The sequence below is a fragment of the Homo sapiens genome, chromosome 13 (genome assembly GCF_000001405.40).
Source record: "Homo sapiens chromosome 13, GRCh38.p14 Primary Assembly".
Classification (NCBI taxonomy): domain Eukaryota; kingdom Metazoa; phylum Chordata; class Mammalia; order Primates; family Hominidae; genus Homo; species Homo sapiens.
This window is the reverse complement of record NC_000013.11, coordinates 102,308,543-102,332,254: the sequence shown is the minus strand read 5'-3', so window position 1 is coordinate 102,332,254 and position 23,712 is coordinate 102,308,543. Positions and strand designations below refer to the sequence as shown.

The following is a 23,712-nucleotide window of genomic DNA, read 5'->3' as shown; positions in this document are numbered from 1 at the left end:
ATTGAAATAGAATGTGATCTTTAGGATCCACTGTCCTACCACAGCTCTGGGAGTCTTTAAAAAAACTTTAAAAAGTTTCCCATCTTTTCCTATCTCTACAAATTACAATCAGTCACTTAACATGCTCTTAACCCTACTGACTCTGCCGTTTAGTACAAAGAGGAGAAAAAGGACACCAAGAAGTAAAGTTACTTATTCAAGGAGAATTTGGGCAGAGCCACAACCAGAATTCAGGTCATCATACCCTTAATTCAGTTCTTGCACAAATATTTATTGTGTTGGGTGCTGCGCTGATTGCTATTTCTGTGCCCTTTCTATTCCATTAAGCTGCCTGTCTGTCTCTGCTATGGGGAATTTACTCTGTGGAAGTTTTTCCCTTCCATGGGGAAGGATTTTCTTAATGCCCATTCTCTTCACATAAACTCAGTGGATCGCCTCACTTTTCTCATTTATATTGTAAGGATGCTATACTACCAATTCGAAACTTTTATGATTCTCTTGTCCACCAATTATGTATGAAAAATGCATTTGAACCCTAAAATCCTTCATTGTGCGTTTCATGTAGCTTGTGTTCATTATACTGTGTTTCAGTTATTTTATTTCACCTTGTTCTTAAAGATGGCATGAGAAATAATGCTATAAATCAATCCCCTTGGAGATGCATTGTTCAAAGGAAGAGTGAAGTTATTTTAATCAGATGTTGACATTTTGCTTTAGGTCTCTTCACATCATTGTGGGTGGTTTTCTGTGCTTTTCTGGGTGGTATGTGCACCCACACATTAGGAGCATTGTGAACTACAGTGTGAATGTACAATAATGAAGTCAAATGTTTAACCAATACATGCAAGCTGATGATGCACACATGTGATGGAGTAGAACAGCATTTCCAATATGGGTCCAAGCTATTGGGATTATACCAATATCCATGTTAAATTGCATAAGCTGAAACTATGTCTTTAGGGGCCTTGGGATATTAAAATATGAGAAAATGGAGCAGTTCAGAATTTAATCATTAAAACGGCTTTGTACCTTTTGATCTGGGACAATGTAAAAGTGGCCATTCATTTGTTGGTTGTTTTCTGTGTCCCAAGGAATTTTCTGACTGCTTTATATATAACATTTTATTTACTTTAATAATTTTATGACATACTTTATTATCCACATTTTACAGTGAAGAAAACTGAATTGCAGTGAGGTTCAATGACACGTCCAAGCACCAAAGTTGCTGTTCAAATGGAGGACGGTCTGATTCCAAAGCTCTGGTGTTAATTAAGCACTATGCTATAATTCTCTCACATCCATTCATTAATTTATTTAACACATATTTATTGGCATATTGCTATTTTAGATGCCAGAAAAATTGCAGAAAATAAAGTAGACAAAGAATCCTGATTTCATGGCACTTTCCTACTTGTAGAGGGGAGACAGATAGTGAAGAAATAAATACATGCATGGAACGTCACATGGTAACGGAAGCTTTAGAGGACAATGAGGCCATGAAGGGAGGAGGGAGTGATGATCAGGGGTGTGGAGCTTGCAGTTTTGAGTAGGGTGGTCAGGAAGGCCTTGCCAAGAAAGTCACCTTGCAGCAAAGGCATGAACAGAGGTATACTTGAAATGGGAGTGGGGCGGGATTGAAACTTTATTGTAGATAGCTAAAGAGAAACTGGAGGAAGAACTGGAAGGAGCAAGAATATAGGCAGTGTTTTGGAGTTAGGTGTCCCAAAATTATTCCTGTGTCAAGAGAGTATGGGATTTTTTTAATTTTGTAAGACTTGAGATATTATAGTATGATTAATTGGTAAAAGAAAAATAGATGATGCAGGAGAGAGAGTTGAGAATTGCTATAGCAATGTTCTTGAATAGGTGAGATGGGATGGGATCCAGTACAAAAGTGTAGGACTTGATCATAGATAAGAACAGAGAAAATTGGTTCACAATAATAGGAAGGAAGGCAGCGGATAGGAGCACAGATGCTGGTAGGTGAAGAGATGAACTTGTGGGAGTTGAGGGCATTCTCTTCTGTTTACTTCTATTTTCTCATTGTGAAGGCAAAATCAGATCTTGAGCTGAGTGCAGACAGGGAGGCTCTGCTGAAATTTGGAGTGGAGAACAATACTGAATTGTCCTCTAGAAGAGGGTTAGAGTGACAGAAACACGTCTCTGCTGGCTCCCTGCCTGTCAGCATTAAGGGTCCACTTGGGGTTAGCGGTTGTGTGATCAGAGTGAGAATAACTGGCACGATTGCGGGTTTAACTTTGGGGAAGTGAACATGATGCTCAAGTCAGGTTCAGGATTCACAGATTAGTTGGTGAAAATTTAGGTTTAAATGTGATCAGAGTTTTGCCAGAAGAGTGTAATAAAGAGCTAATAATTATGAAATATAAGCTGAGAAGTGAGGGCATAAGGTGGGGGTGCGTAAGGGCCATGGAAAGGGTGAGGAGATGAATGGATTGTACAACATGGTAGGGTTAAGATTAAAGGAGTAAGGTGGAAAACAGGAGGTGTTGATCTGAGCAGGGGTGCTTAGTAATGAGGTCATTCAGGAGATTCAGTCTTCTTGGATACATCCACAGGTCTGAGCAGCTGAAGTTGAACAGAGCACAAGGTTGGAGGAAAGATGCAAGGAACTGAAAGGCCACCATGAACTGGAAAGGGAAATCACCAAGGATTATTTTGAATACTCTTGGGTAGATTGATGATGAACTAAAAGTTGAAGAACTCCAACAGGGAAGGGAGTGGTCAGCAGGTGGTTGCAATACAGAGCAAGTGGTTGATGGGTTTTAAGGGAATGACAAAGGTCTGCTCACATTGAGTCCTGCTCACAGGCAGTGCAGAAGAGCTATAGGTCTTTCGGGAGGGGGAATGGAGAGAGATCTGGCAAAGAACAAGGAGGCTTTTGACACTACTGTTGGGGTCATGTGGAAAAAAAGCAGCCTTCACTCACAGGGCTAATAAGAAGCCAAATCTTCAGAGGAGAGCCAGCTCTCAGCCTTGGAGCAAGAAGCTGAAGGGTAGAGTCAGAGAAGTTGATCAAATAGTGGGTTGTACTAATAACCATGAGCTTTTGTACTAGTAGCCATGAGCTTTGATGTAAGCTCATGGGTATTAATGCAACCCTCTATTTGCTCAACTGAAAGTTGAAAGTGAAAGAACTTCAGCAGTTAGGTCATAGTGGATAGGGCCAGAGAGGAGGATGTACAGAACCATATGGGGTGACAGTCTGAGAGGTCAGGAACGAACTGGAACTCCTAGGCTTCTTAAAAATGGAAAATAAACTTAGGCTGTAGGAGGCCTAGGGACATTATGGTGGTGAGGCTTGGTGTGATAAGGGGAGAGGAGAATGGAGGGTTTGCCAAGAGCATGTAGGGCTTCAGGATTTTCCTATTCCTACAAATAATGGCATCAGTTTCACCGGAACACCAGAATATCTGGAATACTCTTATAACTCCTGGAATATGAGCAGTGTTAGGGCTCCATTTATTTGTTAGGGCTCCATCTTAATTTATACATGTATAATGTATCTTAATTTATACAAGATATTTATACTAAGGAACTCATTTTCCCCTTTACCACTCTACGTTATTGCTCCTCCTTCGTGTATCACACGATACAGCTATTCTAAGCATCCACAATGTACCAGGCAGTGCTCTAGAGCTTTAAGTGTGGGAGTAGGTGGGAGCTCCATGAATGGACAGAATTCTTGCTTTGAGGAGTTCACAGTCTAGAGGGGCAGACTAATATTCTAGCAAATAACTACAAGGAGGATAGAAACCTGTGCTTTATGTGGGAAAATAGAGGAGGTAGAGACATGTTTAGATGTCAGTTTTTCTAGAAATATGGAAGATAAAATAGTCTATCTGGAAGACAAATTCACCTATTTTAGCCAGACCACTCACAGAATTTTATAGCCACTTGCAAAGAATTTGATTTCTGCCCAGTTAGTGCTTGGCACAGGTTTATACATAGTTAATGGTCAAAATTTTTGATAAATAAGCGATTAAATAATAAATGTACTTATGAAGAACTTCAACCTTCAAGATGGTTAACTTGAATAAGTTGCAAATGTTTGTTTATGTTAAAATTCAAGTACAAAATAAAACAGTGAGACTTCACTGCCTTTCATTCCAGAAGGGAGAATGGAGAAGACCATTCGTGCTCTGGTTTGAGATAATAGGGAGACTTATGAGTTTTAGGCCACTTTCATTTTTCTTTTCATAGCAGTGAAGAATTTCTGCTAATTCACATTCCAGCATTTATTCTGTTTTTTTTTTTTTTGATCCTTCCAGGTTCTTTTATCCTGCCTTTTGCTTATAAACCATTTATTTATTTTTTATTTATTTTTATTTTTATTTTTTTTTGGAAATGAGTCAATTCTTGATATCCTTTTTTTTTGTTTGTTTTTTGTTCTGTTTTTTTGGAGACATGGTCTCACTCTGTCAGATTGGGGTGCAGTGGCACCACCATGGCTCACTGCAGTCTCGACCTCCCAGGCTCAAGTGATCCTCTTGCCTCAGCCTCCCAAGTAGCTGGGGCCACGGGCATGCACTACCATGCCTAACTAAGTTTTTAAATTTGTTTTTGTAGAGGCAGGGTCTCACTATGTTACCCAGGCTGGTCTCGAATTTCTGGCTTTGAGTGATCTTCCTGCCTTAGCATCCCAAAGTGCTGGAATTATTGGTGTGAACCACCACACCCAGCTGATCTCCTCTGTTTTCATGATCGTAGTACAGTCGCCCTCTGTTAGATAAAAGAGATTTATATAAGTGATTTGGCCAAATCTATTTATTTGAATTAAGGTAATTGTTTGGAGTTGGAGGCATCTGTTAGTAATTCAATGGATACTTGCCCTTGCATTGTATATTGGTGTAAGCTTATGCGAGATAACAATAATAATTAGTGGTGACTTTTAAGTGGTTTTATGTTGTGGTGTGTTGACTTGACCCACTGCTCCCTGCCAAGTCACCTTGGATCCTAACAGATGTGTTGCAAACCAGCCAAATGTGAGAAGCTGTGTTTATAATTTTATATTAACATTAATGTTACTGAAAGTAAAGAAATAGGGACTTAAATAGTTTATGCAATTTGGAGGACCAGAAATCTACACCAGGTAGGCTGGTAGACCATTACTTGGCATTTTTGAACTTTATTTTGATGAAGACACCTTGAACTGTGATCATAGTTGCTGGGAAATTCTATTTATTTAACTTGTTTCAATTTGGGCTTTTGGATTTTTTCTGTGTTTATCTTATGCTGGGTTGAACTATTATTATGGTTTAACACATGAGCTGAACAGAACTTTCCCTTCAGGTTCAGTTTCCGTGGGGAATAATTGGGGTTATCTTGACTGTTTCAAAATCATATTCTACTAGTTCATATATTTTAGTTTTCATGATCCCTCTTTTTTAGTCACAATTTCCCATATCTGAAACATTGGTTTGCTCATATATATTTCCTTCCTTCCTTCCTTCCTTTTTTTTCTTCCTTCCTTCCCTCCCTCTTTCCTTCCTTCCTTCCTTCCTTCCTTCCTTCCTTCCTTCCTTCCTTCCTTCCTTCCTTCCCTTCCCTTCCCTTCCCTTCCCTTCCCCTCCCTTCCCCTCCCTTCTCCTCCCTTTCCCTCCCTTTCCCTCCTTCCCTCCTTCCTTCCTTTTTGAGCTATTTTCTTGTGTGCATGTTTCTTCTATCCCCCAAACCCCATTTCATAGCCAACTTATAAATAGATAAGTACTTTTTTCTTCCTTCAGCGATGAGGAAGTAGTGCTAAATATTTATACCATTCATTATTTATTTACCAATCACTAATATGTCCCAAGAAAAGAGTTTACTGGGCCAAGAAAATCATAAGCAAGAGGTCAGTATTCTTCTTTTGGGTTTGATTTATTTAAATTGAACTTAGGCTATATAATAATTCTATATAAGTTCGGCTTAATTATACTGATAGTTTTATTTGCATTGTGCAGTTTGTCACTTTAGCATATTTAATGGCATTTTTCAATACAGTATTTTGGCTGACATGTTTTCAGTCAAGAAATTTATTGCATTTTCATTTGATGCTTGCATTTGATGCTTTGATTGTTATTCCTGGGCTTCTGGGCTTATTTACAAATTTCATTTAGTTATTATTTGAGGTTATGCTTTAAAATTTGAATTGAACAATACTCATAGTGATCTGAATTCATCTCACATTTCAATTCTACAAGTAACAGAGATGATTAGTTTTCCTTTACTCTTAAAGATGCCCAATCAGAAGTGCTAGGCTATTTTGTTTGGTTTTGCTTTTAAGCATCACCTATGTCCATTGGAGCAAGTATGAAAAAAATTATAGGTATTTAGGATTTATTGAACAAACACTTTTTGTTTGTTCACATTAGTCACAGTTTATATTCACCAGAGTACACCAGTGAACAGATGAATGAAAACAAACACAAATGAAGGCAAAATTCTGTGCCTTCGTTGAGCTTATATTCATTTTGGACTAGGCAGGAGGAAACAGACAAAATAAAAGATAAACATGGTAGATAAGTAGAGCACATAGTGTGACCGAGGATGGTAGTGTTAGAAGAAAAATAAAGCTTAGGTAACTGGGATCAGGATTACTAAAATACGGGTGAGGTTGCAAATTGAAATTTTAAATTGTAAGGACAGTGCAGGCCTCTTGAAGGAAGGAAGGGCCTTACCCATGATACACTCCAGACGATAGAATTCCAGGCAGAGGAAACAGCCTGTTAGTATGCCTCTTTGCACATTCAAATAATACCACGGTGCCCACAATGGCTGAGTGGGGTGCACAAGAGGGTGTGGTAAGACCCAAGATCAGACAGAAAATGATCATGAAAAGGAAGTACAGTCTTTGAATGGCCCCAAGCAATATTGTAAAGACTGTTGGTATTGTTTTTTCTTAATAAAAAGAGAAAAATAATTTCACAACGTTTTTCTAAAATTTTTTTCTTCTGTTCATAACCTTGATCTAACAGGATGCTCTCCATTTCTTTTCAAAATTCTTTGGAAAAAAAAAATTCCAGGTTTAATTAAAAACCCAGTATAATTTTTTCATCTTTCCTTTGGGATCCTTTATGCCTTGTTTCTGTAGGCTATTTGACAGCTGTTTGTAGAAGTCTGGTCCCATCTTTTATTTTCAGGTTTCTTCCATTTCCTTTGAGCATTTTCTCTTTGATGTGCTATGATTGCAAGGATCTTTTCCTCTTTTTTTAAAAAAATCTTTTGATGGTGCTGTGTGTGCATATGTATGTGTGTGCTTATGATATTGAATTGAGAATCACAGTAAAGTTTTTAAAAATTCACCTTTAACATTTGCAAAATTATCAAAAAAAAACAAATATCAATTAATGGTTAGCAGGCGATATGGTACAGTGAAAAGGGGGTGAGTTTTAAGGAGTTATTATTTAAGTGTATTCACATTTGTAACACGTTTTGAACACACAGATCTTCTCATATAAAAATGCAATATCTGTCTTTAATAGAGAAAAACAAACTATAAATGGGCCAGACATCTTATCTTATTAGCCTTAGTTTCCTAATATGTAAAACAAAGTTAATAACAGTTACCCTATTGTTGTGGGGATTGGAGATCATGTCACCTGACACCCGGTGATAATTATCCTCCCATGAACTGACGTTTTTTGAGGGCCTGCTCTGTTCTAGCCACTGTGTCAAAGACTTTGATGCATGAGCTGATCTAACCCTGACAAGGACCACTAGCATTAAAGCTCCACAAGGGGTGGGAAGAAAGCTAGGTATTGTTTATGATTGCATCTCAGGATGCATAGCGCCCAGCATGTATCAGACATTGAAGACCTTTTTTTGTTGAATGAGTAAAAATAAATGCCCCATTTTACAGATGAAGAAACTGAGGCTTGGTGAGATTAGATAAATGACTCAAAGGACATACTTAGTAAATGGTAGAAACAGAATTTGAACCCAGTCAGTCTAACCCTAGAGCCCAAGCTCTTCATCACAACACATATGAGGCTCTTATTAGTGTTGTAGGGAGGGCACTAGAAAGAGGGTTCTCTCCCTCCATTCCTTAAGCCCACAGCCGCTTCTTTCCACTTTTATCTTAGAGTTAGGATATGGCATTAGGCACACTGAATTTTATAGCTATGATTATTGTCCTTGAGTGTAAAAATATTATCATAGCTTTCTTTTTCCCATAAAATCAGACAAGGATATATATGATAATGCCTCCAGATGTGTGCCTGTGCTCACATACAACAGCACATGTACAGCAACACACACACACACACACACACACACACACACACACACACACACACACATACTGCACGTTGGGATCCTTTAAAGAGTCATCTGATATATAACATTCTGTTAAGCAGTGGTTTGAAGGCTTAATGAAATAATCACTGACCTGAACTAAATTTGTTTCCTTTAGTTGTACATTACAAGTGGGAGAGCAGCAAATTAATCTCAGAACCTGAATTCAAATCTCCTATGAGTATGAGATTTTATTGCTACTAGGAGGTTAACTTAATTCCAATTTGTTCTTAATGATTGATAGAATATTGATTATTGTAGGTCATTTATCTTTTCAAGGCTCAAAGGTCAAAAAATATAGAGGGACGTCTGGTAAAATCTTACTGCTATATTCACAAAGGAGCCAATACAGTTTTTAAAAAGAAAGGACTCTTGGTAAATTTAATCTTGATTACTACACAAATGATATGATTTCAATTTGTCTCTGAGATAAGCTTTTGATCTTTACCAATGTCATATCAATGCCTTTCAAATGGTGAAACCAGTCTTTTATGTATTTATTGGTTAGACAACTTATATGAAAATTATAAAACAGACTTTAATGAAATTCAGTTAGCTTACTTCATCAATAACAAAGACAGGAAATGAAATAAAAAGAAGCAAGTTAATGAACTACAGAAAATATGAACTTATAAATCCTTTATAACTACATATAATCCTGATTTAATTTGAGGACTCAGAATTCCAGGTATTCTTAGAGAAATCTGTGACTAATGCAGCTTAAAAGGTCTCAAACTGACATGGAACAATTTTTCTCAGTGTTTCTCATATACTGCGATGTGTCAAATGCTGACACAGATTAACAATAATTTATAAATTGACATTGCAGCAACTTTTTTAACCTTACACTTGGGCAAAAATGGAAACAAAAGCCTTTGGAGTCAATACTAACCAAATTTACTTTATGAGCAGAAACCACAGGGCTTCTGTTTCACCTTTAAGCTGTTTGCCAGTTTAAGAAATGCTAGCGTAAGGATCAATTTGTGAGAAAAGCAAGGATCAAAGAGGTTAAAGTAGGATATTTCTTTAGCTTATACTTTGTTTTGTTTTCAATATCACATGGCAACTTTTTTTTTTTAATGTTAAGTTTGGTGATAGACTGGAAGAGGTAGAGATGGGACAGTACGGGAATGTATGTGTATTTGTTTCTATAATAGGGATGTGGAATTAGAACACATATTATAATGCATGTTTTAGGAATAATTTAGACACATTTTAGTATGAAGCTACAAATGTATTCATCCTCTGAAATTCTAGAAGTTCCATGCAGCCCTGTGTTTTACATTGTTTTTGCCAAGTCAATGATGATAATTGTACCAAAAGGAAATCATGCAGAAGACAGAGAAAGAGCTATTGAACCACAACTTTATTTATAAGTATGAGAAGACTTCAAATTTAAGACAAAGTTTTGGATAATTTTTTAAGGATTATGTGCATCTTAGGAGTCCAATCAGTAGTCGGTGAAGTGCTCTATCTTCATAAATGCCCATGACTCACCACCAGCCATTAAAATCATGGCAGTTATAGGATCCCCAAAAGCCTCAGGGATAAATTATACATTGGCATTGTGACAGACAGGCCTAATAGGTCTTTCCCACCAGTAATAAATATGTTCCTGCACTCTATGCCAAGGTACATTTTACTGACTTCCTTTGATACCATGGTGAAGCCTCAGTCTTAGTAGTAAAGGATGTTTCCGTTTAAAGATGCTTCACGGCAAGCATTAAGCCACTGAGTTAACTGCTCAAGAAGTTCATGGCAATACCCTGTACATCTTAGCATGACATTTAGAGACAATATGTAGGTGTGTTTAGTAAAGCAATGCTTAAGCTCTTCCTAGAAGGCAAATCTCCAGCCCATTAGTTTTTCATTACAGTGAATGCTGGAAGGAAAAGGGCTTGTCAGCCACCCTCCTTGTGTTCCAGGGTTTGGGTGCCTCTCTCCAATCTCACCCTTCCTAGGCTCAATCTAATCCTGTCTGGGTCAAACCACTCTGGCTTGGATCTGACTTAGGAAATTTGGTCTGCTCCCAGTACAGAGTTGAAAAACATTTAAATGCCACTTTCTACCTTTGGGTTTGAAGACAGTTAAAATGGGACATTGGCAGGGGGTGCTAAATTAATCTGAACCAATTAATCAGGATAAAACATGATTCTTTATTAGTTATGGAATCCAAACTACTGAGAATTGATAGAGTCATCATATACTTAATGCTCCTGATTATGAACTAGATGTGGAATCTAGTTTTGTTGTATTTGGTATGCCCTACCCAAGTTTAGAAAACACATTAAGGCCTAATCAAAATTAGTGAAATGTAAGCAGATTTTGGCAGTAGGTCCCTATTCAGTTACCTTTGCTTGTAATAATCTCACATGCACACAAACGTACTTTAAACAATAGAGTATGGAAAAGCCACTAACAAGAATTTATCAAAAATTTCCAATAATTAGCAATTTAAAATATATGGATAAATGAAAATTTGTGTTTATAATGACCCTGGGAAGCATTATGTTTCAAATTCATTTAAAAATTGTATTCTATATGTTGCATTGTTAAATACTTATTTTTTGCATTATGATTCTTTGAGAATTGCAAATTATATAGTAACTCCATATATGGAGTTACATGGTAATTTCAAGTTAACCAAAATGCCATACCATATTATTTATCGACTACCATGGAAATTAAAACAGTCCATATAACTTGAATTTCCAGCACTGAATTGAAAGCTTTTTAGAGCTATAGCTTTCAATTCAGTCATTTTATTGAGAAAAAATGTGCTCTATTGCAATGAAGGGGTCTGTCCAAGGATATATAGACATTTGGCAGTTAAGGAGACACTGTGGTCTGGCCTCCTGACTTGCAAATTGGTGCCCTTACTTCTACAGAATATCAAGCAGGAATCAGACATTCCAATATTTTTGAATGGCCAAAACTTTTCTACGTATGAACTGTACCAGCTACCCAGGTTATAAATTGAGCCCATATTAGAGAGAGGCTATTTTGAGTATAGCCATACTGGTCCTATTGGGAGTCTATTTTATGTAGAGTTGGCTAAGAATTCAGTGTGAAAGGTGAATGGGAGGGATGAAGGAAATAGGAAATGAGGTATTGCTCCTTAAAGAGTTCACAATGAACATTCACTATCCATTCTCCTATCTCATGTTGCTATTTTTTCAGCTTTTGGCATAACATGCACATCTTTAGCCCCATTCAAGGGAATATGTAGGTGAGTAGATAGATGCTGCTCAGCTATATCTCCATGTGCTTCTAGGGAGGTCCTCCCACATTGGCTTTCAAAGAGCACAAACTCCTAGGGGAGGAGCTACCTTGCCTCCTACCTCTAATTGTGAACCAGCAAACCAGATCCCTTTCCTTTAAGACTGTATGACAAAATAAGTCTCCAAAACAGGAGGAAATGGGAATGAAAAAGAACACTGAAGAGGAAATTGGTTTAGTCACCATTTTCCCTAGGATAACTCCAGTCCCACAGCAGAGACTCAGGATGCAGTCATATGGCAACTCCAGTGCAGCACCAACTGAATGCATGCCAGGGAGGTGCCCAGAAGTGTTTGCAGGGTCAGGAGAGATTAAGCATGTCTCCACCTGGATGAACACAAGGTTGCCTGAAACTTTTGCCATTGATTTTTACCTTTGTTGACTTGTGAAGTCTCATGAGGGTCATTTTTTTTTTTTTTTGGAGTTTTCAAGGTTCTTTCACATAATCTCTTTAATTGCATGCTCATACTTTGGGTGATAGAACTCATTCTTTCCATTTTTGATCAGTGGCAAGACTGGGACTCAAATCTAGGACTCCTGATTATCTCCCGAACGATTATTCTGTGCAGTCCCCTACAACTGCTGCTTTGGGAGCACACACACGCACACAGAGGCACATGCATGCATTTTGAAAATGGAAACTATATAGGTGTGTATCTTTCCACAGGAATACTATGGTAGGTACTCTCAGAAACAACACCAACAATATGCTCTATAAATCTGGAATCTGTAGTTCAGTGGTTATTTGGGGATATCAGCAAAGTGGCTTTCATCAGTATGCATGTGCATATATATGAATATATACATACATACATGTATATATAGCATTTGGCACATCTATGTCTATATCATCTCTATTATATATTTCATCATCCACATATCAGTCACTATCCTTAGCTAGTGCCCAGGTGCTCCAAAAAATGCACAGTGGCTATCAGCATAAGCTGATAGAGTTAATTGTTTTAGAGTTAATAGAAGAACACAAGCAACCGGTCATTTGGCTCAAGAACTGAGAAACTTCTTTACATTCAGACTTTCCTGACACTGCTTACATTTAAGTAGCAATTGTAAGGCATCGCAGCTGGTTCGGCTCCTAGCAGTGACAACAAAGTTGTTATTGTATGCAATTGGTGGCCTTCCTCCCACTGGCCATGCCTCACCATAGCGCAGCCATGCTGTATGGTGTCTGCACTGCTGTGTGCTGGTGGGGGCAAGCCCCAGAGAGGGATGGGGGAAGGCAGGAGGCTTGGCACTTACAGGACTGAATTTCCAGGTTTTCTGGGAAATTTTCAGAGGTTGTTGATGGCGTCTGTATCTAAGCAGAGCAGGGGGTGTGTTCCCCAGTCCAGGTGTGCAGTTGCCAACCTTTGCCAACTATGATTAGACATGGATTCATGCATCTAGATGTAGTCCATCATTTGCATATGTAATTAATTATAATATGGTTAGTTCTTTCTGATCTCCCTTTCCTATAAATTGAATTACTCAGGGACTCTCATATGACACTAAAATCTTTTTAAAAAGTACACATGACATTTTGAAGGATAAGACTAACTGCTATTTATAGCACTCCAACTTCAAATTCAGAGCCTTCTGCTGTGATCAGACAGCAAGGAGTGCCTTCGTCTTTCAGCAAGCAGCCTCAGAAAGCTCGCAGCAACGGCTTCTCTCCTCAATAGTCTTCAATGCTCAATGGTGATCATGAAAATCACGACACCCCAAGTTAAAGACTTCTTCACTGGCACTCAGAAAGGATGATTCACTCATGCATTCGTTTATTTAACTCACATGTGTATTGAGTACCAACCTACTGTGTGCCAAACCCTGTCTCAGATGATCTACAGGTAGCCATCAATGTCATTCCTGGAGTTATGGGTTGAAACGTGCCCCCCTCAAATTTATGTGCTGAAGTCCTAATCCCCAGAACCTCAGAATATGACCTTACTTGGAAATTCTGTTGTTGCAGATGTAATTAGTCATGATAAGGTCATGCTAGAGTAGGGCAGACCCTTCGTTGAATATGACTGTGTCCTTACACAAAGGGGAAATTTATACACAGATAGGGACTCGGAGAATGCCAGTCGAAGAAGAAGACACAGATCAGGGTGATACTTCTACAAGCCAAGGAAAGCTGAAGACAGGCAGAAAAACCACTAGCAGCTTGGAAAAGGCGTGGACCAGAGTCTCCCTCCCAGTTCTCAGAAAGAGTCCACTCTGCCAATACCTTGATCTCAGACTTCCAGCCTCCAGAGCTGTGAGACAATACATGTCTGTTGTTTAGGCCACGCAGCTGATGGTGCCTTGTTACAGCAGCCTAGGACACAAATACATCTGAGTGCCCAGTTTGGGTAGGGTGGGTGCTCTAAGGCTGAGGATACGCAGTTGGGACCCCCTGCTGCCAGCAGCTCCTATGGCACCCAGGGCACTCCCTATGTGAGTAGATTTCAAACTGAATTCTGGCTCCTTCCAGGGGTTTAGATCTTCCCACTGCTTGGCCCTAAATGTCTGCAGGTGTGCTGAGGTGTTGATCCTCTCAGCTTTCAAGATACTTGGGAAAGACCCAGGTGGCTGGGGCCTCCAACTCCCTCCATTTACTGAAAATGCCAGATACCATTATCAGTTTTTTCAGACATGATGGTAACATGATGAATAAACCCTAGTCTAAGCAAACAAAAATTAAAAATCAAGCATGACTGGGGCCGATGTCTATGGTCTTGCAATTGTTGTAGTAGGCCAGATTGTGGAAGGGGAGGATTTATCTGAGCTGGACTCTAAATAGGGCAGCTTACTGAAAGGCTCTGGCAGGAACCAAGCAAAGGTTTCCACATGGTCAAACTGGACTTTTGCAGTCTGGCTGCTGCCCAGTGTGTGGGAGGGGGACAGGAAATCCAGCTCTTAACAGAAGGCCAAGCAGGCAAGTTGTCACATTTGGTAGAAGCCAGAAGGGGTGGGATGTTTCCTCCCCAGTAGTGAAGGGAGGGGCGGGTCCTGTCCAGGACTGAGGGATCTGCTGCTCTCCTTGGTTCTCAGCTTACTCAAGCCTCTCAAGTATGTTAAAAATTTGGTCCTATATTTTGGAAAGTGTTTAGAAAAAAAACAAAGGTTTAAAAACCAGAATGTCTCAAAGCTATAGAGTAAAAATTCATTCATTTATATTTAAGTGATATAATTTATAACAGAGACAGAAGCAGAAAACCAGGAGAAAGGATGAAACATTCTTAACTCCTTCAATGTGTGTAAATGAGGAAGGAACATATCAGTTGGTTCATAATATCTATATATATATTTAATTCCTCTTGTTTTTGGGGATCTTTTTTTTTCTAATACTTATTACCACTATACAGAATGCAGGTGGGAATAAAGGAATAACGAAAGAATATAAATTACTGAATCGATCTTGCAAATGTTTATGTATGGTTCAAATTATTTACTTCTAGAAAAGGTCTTAAGAATCTTACTCAGAACCTTTATACTCTTATTTTCTCACAAAGCTAGTGACTGTATAGTGTAAATTAATGGCTTCTTGCAGAATAAATGTAGCAAGTAGTTAGTGTAGGAGAAATGCATCTGTGCTAGAGGCAGGCATACTGACATCGGTGCCTGTCTATATCACATGTCTGAGAAGGTACGTGATGGAATGAAATGAATTAATGAATGGAAAATGGCCCAAAAAAAGATGGAAAATGGCCTAAAAAAGCCATACAATCAAAAGAAGTATCATGAGTATCATGAGGTGAATTTACTGCATGTCAGAGCTACTCTTTCCACATCTCAATCATCCTGAAAGATGCCAGCATTTAATATCAGTAATCATGATGATAACCCTGAGAATGGATTACATTATTTTTACTATAATTTCTCAGGTGTTTCAGAGGTTGTATGATTAACCGTGCAAAAAGGAGTTAATATTTTCAAAAATTCTGATTTTTAAAGTGGTCTGTTTCAGGACATCTGAACAAAAAGGTTAAAGCCTACAATAATACCATGGCTGAAAAACTACACGCCAATATTTGTAATATTTTATATGCATATATATATACACACACACATATACAGAGATAGTTCAAGAGAGTGATTCAAGGCAATTTGTAAATGTATTTTGTTTAAGTTGTCCTAAGTGGTTCTCAATGTTTTAACATGTTTAGTTTCATAGTCAACTTGCATGATGTGTGGGATTTCTATGTGCAAGATATCCTCCCTTTTAAAAATTATTCATTTATTTTTAATTGATAATAATTGTATATATGTATGGGGTACAGTGTGATATTTTGGTCTATGTAGAAATATTCAGGCGAGCGAATTAACATATCTGTCACCCCATCAACTTACCACATTTTTGTTGAATGTTCAACCCTTGATGTGCATGTTGAGAGACTATTGTTGGTAACATTGCTTTTGACATGTCCCACAACTGATTGTATGTAACATGATAGTATGCCATGAAAACTTGGTTGAGTACTGTGGCAGAAAGGTCAGGATTTTAGGATTTGAGAAAGTTAAATTTTTCTCCAGTCACAAAGCTTATCCTTCTGTTAATTTCTGTTATTTTGCAGTCTGCTGGGTTTAATATGGGACTCCAAGGGGGCTCCTAGTTTAGACCCTTGCCTCCTGGCAGGACATATTTTCCCCTAATGAGACAGCACTGGCCAAATGCTTTATTCTTCTCTGCACAGTGTAGCTGTGGGATTGCATAGGGCTCATTATGCACCCAAGTAGTCATGTCCTAGTTTCTGCTTTTTTGCAGTGCTGGTATATTCATGAAAGAGTGTAATGTAATATACAACAGGTTTTTTTTAAAATATCTTGGGATATTGTAAAAAGGAGTAATTTGCTAGAAAGGTAAGAAGAGGGAATTAAAGCTTCAATAAATCTGTGTTAGGCTCACTGCCTTGCTGTATTTGAGGTCTTACCTAGTTTATTTCAAGCTTGGGGTTCTCCCTAAGGTACACAGGACCCAAGCTGATATATTTTAGATGCAATAATATTTGGGACAGAAAATTCCAACTCTTGTTTTGTGAAATGCTAGGGGATCCTCAACTATTTCAAGAAGGATTACAAGACAGCTAAAAGGAAAATGATTTTAAAATTAATTTAATAAACTAACCCATGCCATTGAGTTCCCTTTTTGCAGTATTGGGTTATGACCCAAACTGTGCCAAATACAAGGCATTTAAACACAAATGGTTCATAATGCTGGCTCTCAGAGAACTTAGTCAAGTAAAAGAGGCCCGCAAAAAATGCAGTGAAATGTTACAGGCATTGCCTACAGGGGAGGGTTGAGAGAAGTGATAGTTTTTGAACTTGAGGTAGGGCTTCAGGGAACTGCTCTACTGTCCCCTGAAGGGGTGCAGGCTGGGAGGCACTTTGGAAGCAGTATCTTCTGTCTGTGAAAGTGTGACTGACTCTTAGAGCAATATGTGTTTCTTTTCAAAAAGATCCCCTTTACAGAAAGGAGGAATGCCAGATTTTATAATATTTTTTCCTTGCTACTCATTTCTTTGACCGATTTATTAGGGAAGGCATGTGTGTGTGTGTGATATAATATTCACACAATATACATATATATTACCACATTACCACAAACATATATACATGTTTGTACATATATGTTTGTATATCCTATGTATATATGCATATATGTATACATGTTTGTATGTGTGTGTAACATTATGTGAATCTTTTATTATACATTAATATGTTATTTATAATAATGTATATGTTATATAATATATTAATATAATATGTATAATTTTGTACATTTATTATGTATTTTTATATATAAATTTTTAGCCAAAGCTAATAGAAGTGAGATCAATAAAACATTATATTTACTCCCATGTCGAGAAATACCAAACCCTTCTGGCAGGTGTGAGCAAGTACTTGCTTTCAGAGCTTTGCAGGAAATTCCTGAATTAATACACAAGACGACTTTTTTTCCTGATAGCAGAAATTAACTTTCAGAATAAAAACAGTAACTCTTGTTGTAAACAACTTTGAAAGAGTGATTGGCATTTGTTTATTTGCATGTACGTCTACCTGTTTATTCACCAAATATTTTCTGAGTGTTTACTATGAATAATTGTGAGTTTCTGTGATAATAAAACTATACTTTCAGCTCTCTGAGGGCAGGAAAGCTTTTTTATTAATCATTGGATCCTTGTATCTAGTACAGTATCTGGAAAATGCAGACATTCCATATAGTATTAATATGTTCGGTTTGTTGAAGTAACATATACCGTGAAGACACTTGGAATGGTCCCTTCAGTTCAGGAAATATGTATAGCGCGATTGAGGACATATTCAGAAGGAACTAGTAAGTAGTCAATATAGAATGGGTGCTGCTTAATTTGTGCATGTAATATATGTTTGGGGCCATCGGTGGAGAGAGACAGTTCCAGCTGAATAAAACATGATGATACACAAGTGAATACACTTTATTGATGACTTCAATTTGTAAGATGATCAGGTCAGGCAAATTACATTGTTGCTAACTGACTTCAATAAATTTTGACTGTACAAGCAGCAGAAAGAAATTTCTGTCTCTTATATTTCAACTGACCTCTCAGAAAATTAGCCATTTTTTTTCAATACGTAATGCCTCATGAAGATGGCTTGCGTGGCCCCTGAAGTAGTGAGGTGCATTTTCTTAAGTGGACTGAACATCTTGGTCGTCTGTGTGCTGGCTGTGTTCTCCGGCCTCAGCCTGGCAGAGTTGTTTCGTAATGGCTGCATTTTCTGCCTGAGTGATGGAAAACACGTTTGGTAGTTTTAGAGAAAATAATTGGTATTTTAATTTCTCTGTCTTGAACGTCTAGTACTACTTTGTGGAGGAATTTGTGACGTGATGTTGTTGCTTTCCATTTGGACTGTTGAAGAAGTCATGAGGGTTGATGCCTGAATGATTTTCCATAGAAATGAACCTGAACAGTTTTGGTGAAAACCTTCTTTAATGCAAACAAGAATATATTTCTTTTGGGGTTGGGGCTGAAAATAGACATTTTAATTTCATTATGTTATTAGTTTAAAAATCTATTAAAACCAACAATGTGAACTGTTTTGAGCTCTTACCCCCCTCCCCTGCCCAACGCCTTAAAAGGTAAATGGAGTATTTCTGAGAGAATTCCCAAAGAGTATCTTGTTTGGACCACCAACTACAATTTTGACTTTCACTTTCTCACCATTTCCTGTAAAATCGGGACTGTTTCATCAGTGATGATCTGCATTCTTTTATGCCTTTCCCTGAGACGAGAGTGCCCTTCCCTGGCTCCAACAAACAACTCCTGCTTATCTTTCAAGATTGACTTTAAATGTTACCTCGTGAGACTCAGTTTCTGAGTTCTCCACTTCTGTTGTAATTGATGAAGAGACTAGGCACATAATTGTAATTGAGCTATTTCCACGGCTGCTTTCCCTGTGTGTGAGTGCTTCCAGGCTCAGGATTGGGTTTGACATTGCCTGGTGCCTTCCAGGAGCAGTGCCCTGCCCACAGTGAGGTGGAAGACACTGTTGAATTGATTGTTGGATAGCTGAATGTGAACCTTGCAGAGGGGCCTTGCTTGGCCCTGCCTTTTTCCCTGGAGAACTGTAAGGCTATCAGTGCTTGGAAGGTGCTCTGTTGTCCTTGAACTAAATGTCTGCTCCTATGGCTGTGGCTCAGGAAGGAGTAGGTTGGTCCGCTACAGGAGGAGGAGAACTCACTTGCTTTTGTCAGGGTTGTGTCTCCTCTCTACCCCACTTGACTTTTCACACAGCCCCTGAGTGATGTACCTGCCGAGCTCTGGACTGAAAGGGATATCTGGGGCTGTGGACGGAGTCCAGAAGTAGGGCTTCGATGGAAGAGCTAAATGTTTCTTTATTCTTCATATGTCTCTGAGGATGTTGTTGATAGCAGAAAACAATCAGCAAGAAATTTCTGCTATCAGAAGCTTTCAAATCCATGCCCTGAAAAACAAAACAAAACAAAACAATACACTTCCTTCTCCTATAAGTTCTAATTCTTATATTTTTCCTAGGGCTATCACTGATGTCTCTATCCCTTTAAGCCATCCAGGGGGGTAGTTGGAATTCCTAACAGCACTAGGATTAATAGTGCAGTGGTATAATGCCATTCATAAGTGTTTGTGGGGAATACAATTTCTAGTGGATTTGATTTTTTATAAAACATACAGACATTTTAAACCCTTGGCCCAAGTATCAGTCCTATTTATTCTTTTAATTGGCATTAGTTTGGTGATCTTGGATCTGAATTTCTCCTTGGTAAACAGTAATAAATATTAGCTTCCAAAGTTTGTTGTAAGAATGAAAGACAACGCTGTAAATGAAACCTCCTTGAAAATAGTATTTTTGAAAATTGGTATTGTCCAGAAGTAGGTTGCTAATATAAGCTCTCTCCCACTTAAGTTTTTTTTTTCTGCTTTCATTTAAATGAGCAAGCAGAGTTTGCCTTTTTTTTTTTTTTTTTGGTTTAGGTCTTGTACTTGTTCATTATGTAATAAAATGGAAAGTCAGAGAGTACAAAAGAGAGGACAATAATGGTTTCATAAATCGTAGACAACCTTAAAGAGAATGGAATACTTTAGCAGATAGGGAACTGAAACTCAGAGTAGGTAACATACCAAACGTCAAGCAGTTCTTAGCGGCCCAGCTAAACTAAAACTCAGGTCACTTGGTTCCCAAATTAAAATGTTATTAACCCATAAATATGAAACATTAAAATGTGTGGGCCAAATTGAACAAATGTTGGAAAATATGAGACCCTAGTAACATTGAGATACTCATTTCCCTTTGGCTTACCTCAATATTTGAAAGAGACTTTTTAGCACATCGGTAAGTTGTCTTATTTATTCTTCTGGCAAATGTTGTGTTATGCCTTCTGTATTTCTAAGAACCATAAAGGGATGGGGGATAACTTGTTCAGCTCTCATCTATGATCACAGATATTCGAGAAGTGTTTGTAGTTGTGCTTTAAAATAGCTCAGTTCTTTGTTCGTTTCAAATATCCTGTGTTACACGCTGTCTTTTTAAGCCCTTTGCTTTGCCTGACCCTTAATCTCTTCTGCTTACTTTCTCCTCCTCTCTCCTTTTCTACAGCTTTATTTTTGGTTCTGGTAGTATGACAGCACTTCTGAATTGTAATGGGAGTGTTTTTCCACACCTCCAACCTGTCCCAAATGCATGAGGTGACTTTTAAATCGGCCCGATTCAGCTGTGGGGAAGGATGGACTCTTGCCAGCAGGGGCATTGTAGCTAGAATTAAAGACACCATTATTTCTTGGGGAGAATCATTGACAAAACTTAGTTTTACTTTAAAGAGCTCACATAGAAAAGATATTTTCTTCAAGACTGATCAGATAGCTGCCCCTAGTATGTCATAAAGCTCAACTCCCCAGGGCCCAGAAACCAGGCCAAGAGAAACTCCTAATGCAGTGTGATCTGTTCATGACCCTCTTAGAAAAGAACATCCTTGTTCTCCCTAAGGAATGCATGTCCAAATGCATCTTTCTTCACACCCTTAAGAAATAACCTCTTCCCTTGGACCATGCTGAATGTAATGAATGGAAGAACACTGAATGAGGGTGCAACGGAGCAGTCTAGCCTAGTTAATGGCTGACCGAATCCTTTTTAAATTGTGTGTGTGTGTGTGTATGTGTGTGTAAATTTTGATGCAAGTGGGCCATATGGGACACAGCTGATCATATTAACAGAGGCGATGCTGGTGTGGTAGAAGGACACAGGCTTGAATTAGGTCACGCCCTGGATGCAGTTCTTAGCTCCTGAAAATGAGACCCTGGCAGTGACTTCCCACCCCCAAGGGAGAACAATCTGGTCTGGAATCTGGCCCCAAATGATTAGTTAACTCCTGAGACCAGGGACTTCAGACCTGCTGGAGGCCAAGCTTCCTTTACCTAGACCTTGGGGCTGGCTACCTTATAGAAAAAGGAAAGGGGAGTTTTCTAGCAGTTAAACAACCCCCACCCCCCCCCCCCCACACACACACAGAGAGAGAGAGAGAGAGAGAGAGAGAGAGAGAGAAACGGGAAGAGAGAGACAGAAAGGAAAGAAGGTTTTATTCCTTGCCTCCCTCTATCTCCTGGCCCAGAAAGACACTTTTCAGTCCCTTGTGGGCACAAACTCTGAAGACAGATACAACAAAGATGCATATGGAAGCTCAGCTCATACTTAAAGCAAAAAGACTTCATTCTAATTTCAAAAAGTAAGTTCTCTTCTCCTTTAATACTTATTAGTTCCATTCATTCCTTGTGCTCCTCAAGGTCACTTCTATTTTTAAAATTCGGGAATTCTGCCTGTTAGGATTTCTCACTTTAAATAGTTGGTGATCCAAACAAACAAACAGTAAAAATATACTCTAAGTGAGGAAAGGGGGAAGGATGTGTGTTTGTGTATGCACACACACGTGTGTTTCATTTTAACCAAGACCAAAGAGGGCAAGAGTAAAACTATCCTCTTGTTTTTCCTTCTTCTCACCTTCTGGGCTTGTTAGAATTAAAGCCTTTCCAAAGTTTTCCCAATTCAAAGCCAAGCCATTTAAAGATAAACTGATGCCAGAATGACAGAGCTATTATAGAAGGAAGCAAACCTTTTCATTTTATAGGGTAAGAAAAGGAGTTCTAAACTGGTGAAGTGACAGCTTAGAGTCACACAGAGATGTTTGTGGAAGTGGATGCCTTATATATTTTTAAGAGATATCTGTGCATGGGTAAAAAACAATTAAAGGTCATGGAGACCTTATCAGAGGTTTCTATCCAGATGAGATTGCTAGGTTCAAATGAAACTTGTCCAAGAGTTGCTGAGATTCAAAGGCTAAAGCAAATGCAGGATGAAGATTCAGAGAGGTCCCTGCCATCATATATGAAGAAGGAGGGGAAAAGAGCCAGGATATGTGCTCTAAGAAGATTTTAAATTCTGAGAATTTTCATTTATATAATCCCTTTGATGGATAAATATGTGGCTGCTTCATCCTTTGCAATTTTATAATAGGCAGCACTAATTTTAGCATATTGTTTATTAAACATTTCAGTGCTCATCCGATTTTTGCATTTGATTATTGAATTGACTTTTTCATGATTCAGTTCTTTTTACCCAAATTGTATGGTCCTTTTGTGCAAGAGAAATCACTTGTGGGCAGTAAAATGCAACTTTCTCATCTCTTTGATTCTTTCCTAGCAGATCTAGGCAGAATCCCATTTGCTCTGTGGTACTCTGCAGTACCAGAAACTATAAAACTGCACTTCCCAGGGCTGGTTAGTGCAGGCTGATAGCCCCGTCATTTCAGCCGGTGAAGTGAATGCCTTTACCTAGCTGATGAAAGCATGGGGCTTTGGAGAAGTTCCAGAAACTCCTTTATGCTTGTAGGAGAACGTGGTAGCGTTTCCAGGCATGCTGTGCGCTCAGCGAGTTTGGTGCAGTGCAGCAAGCTTGTGTAATAGCACCATGTTGATCGGCTCAGTGCTCCACTTGAAGGACTGGGAGGCACTCAACGCATTACTGTGCGAGATGTGTGTGTGTGTGTGTGTGTGTGTGTGTGTGTATGTTATGCATGTATGCATTTGTGTGGGTGCATGTTTACTTTTCATTTAATCCCATTAACCAAGTATCAAGTACATCAGCCATTACTAACATAGCAAGGTTACTATTTCTGGTGTCCCATTTTTATTCAGGTCTTGGAAAACTCACTACATTTCTGCAGATACTTTGGAGTGCTCTTTTTCTAGGGTCTGTTTTTTTTGTGTTTTTTTTTTTTTTTTTTGTATAAGAAACCCTCCTAGTTCATATACAAAGTGGCTCCGAAGTCTGGATGTTTGCCATCTTCTGCCCCCAATAACACCCCAGGTACCAGGTCCCACTCCAGTCTTATTGTTTAGCACATTGCCTGACTGTAACCACTCTCTTGTGTGAGGGCAGATTGGCAGATTTCAAAGAGCAGAATCGCAGAACTCAGAACTCAGAAGATATTTGATATATTGTAGACTGATCCTTTTATTTTACAGATGAAGAAATGGAGGCAGACATGTAAAATGACTTGTTCAGATCACTCAGGCAGAGCTGGGGCTAGAAACTAGGTCTGCTACCTTTTAGTCCAATTCTTTTTTTCCTGACATAATTGCATTGAATTTTACTAGA

The 23,712-nt window shown here is 38.6% G+C and overlaps 1 protein-coding gene and 2 long non-coding RNA genes across 24 annotated transcripts in view; 2 read left to right on the top strand and 1 right to left on the bottom strand.

Moving 5' to 3' along the window:
- Positions 1-23,712, top strand: part of FGF14 (fibroblast growth factor 14) — a 691,640-nt gene that overhangs the window by 70,189 nt on the left and 597,739 nt on the right. For 4 of the 21 annotated variants that reach the window (NM_001321934.1, NM_001321931.1, NM_001321932.1 and 1 more), the window contains exon 1: positions 21,569-21,784. The exons of 15 other annotated variants lie outside the window; for them this stretch is intronic. The gene's annotated coding sequence lies outside the window, so the exon portion shown is untranslated. Of the gene's footprint in view, positions 1-14,550; positions 14,620-21,568; positions 21,785-23,712 lie in introns of those variants that run through there. 2 more of the 21 variants (NM_001321935.1, NM_001321936.1) reach the window with 1 other exon arrangement.
- The window catches only part of FGF14-IT1 (FGF14 intronic transcript 1), a 102,200-nt gene that overhangs the window by 62,265 nt on the left and 16,223 nt on the right, over positions 1-23,712 (top strand). The gene's annotated exons all lie outside the window — the stretch shown is intronic.
- Positions 19,431-23,712, bottom strand: part of LOC107984615 (uncharacterized) — a 34,537-nt gene continuing 30,255 nt past the window's right edge. The window contains exon 4 of one of the 2 annotated variants that reach the window (XR_001750082.3): positions 19,431-19,512. This is a non-coding gene — a long non-coding RNA (uncharacterized LOC107984615). The remainder of the gene's footprint in view (positions 19,513-23,712) is intronic. The other variant, XR_007063856.1, reaches the window with a different exon arrangement.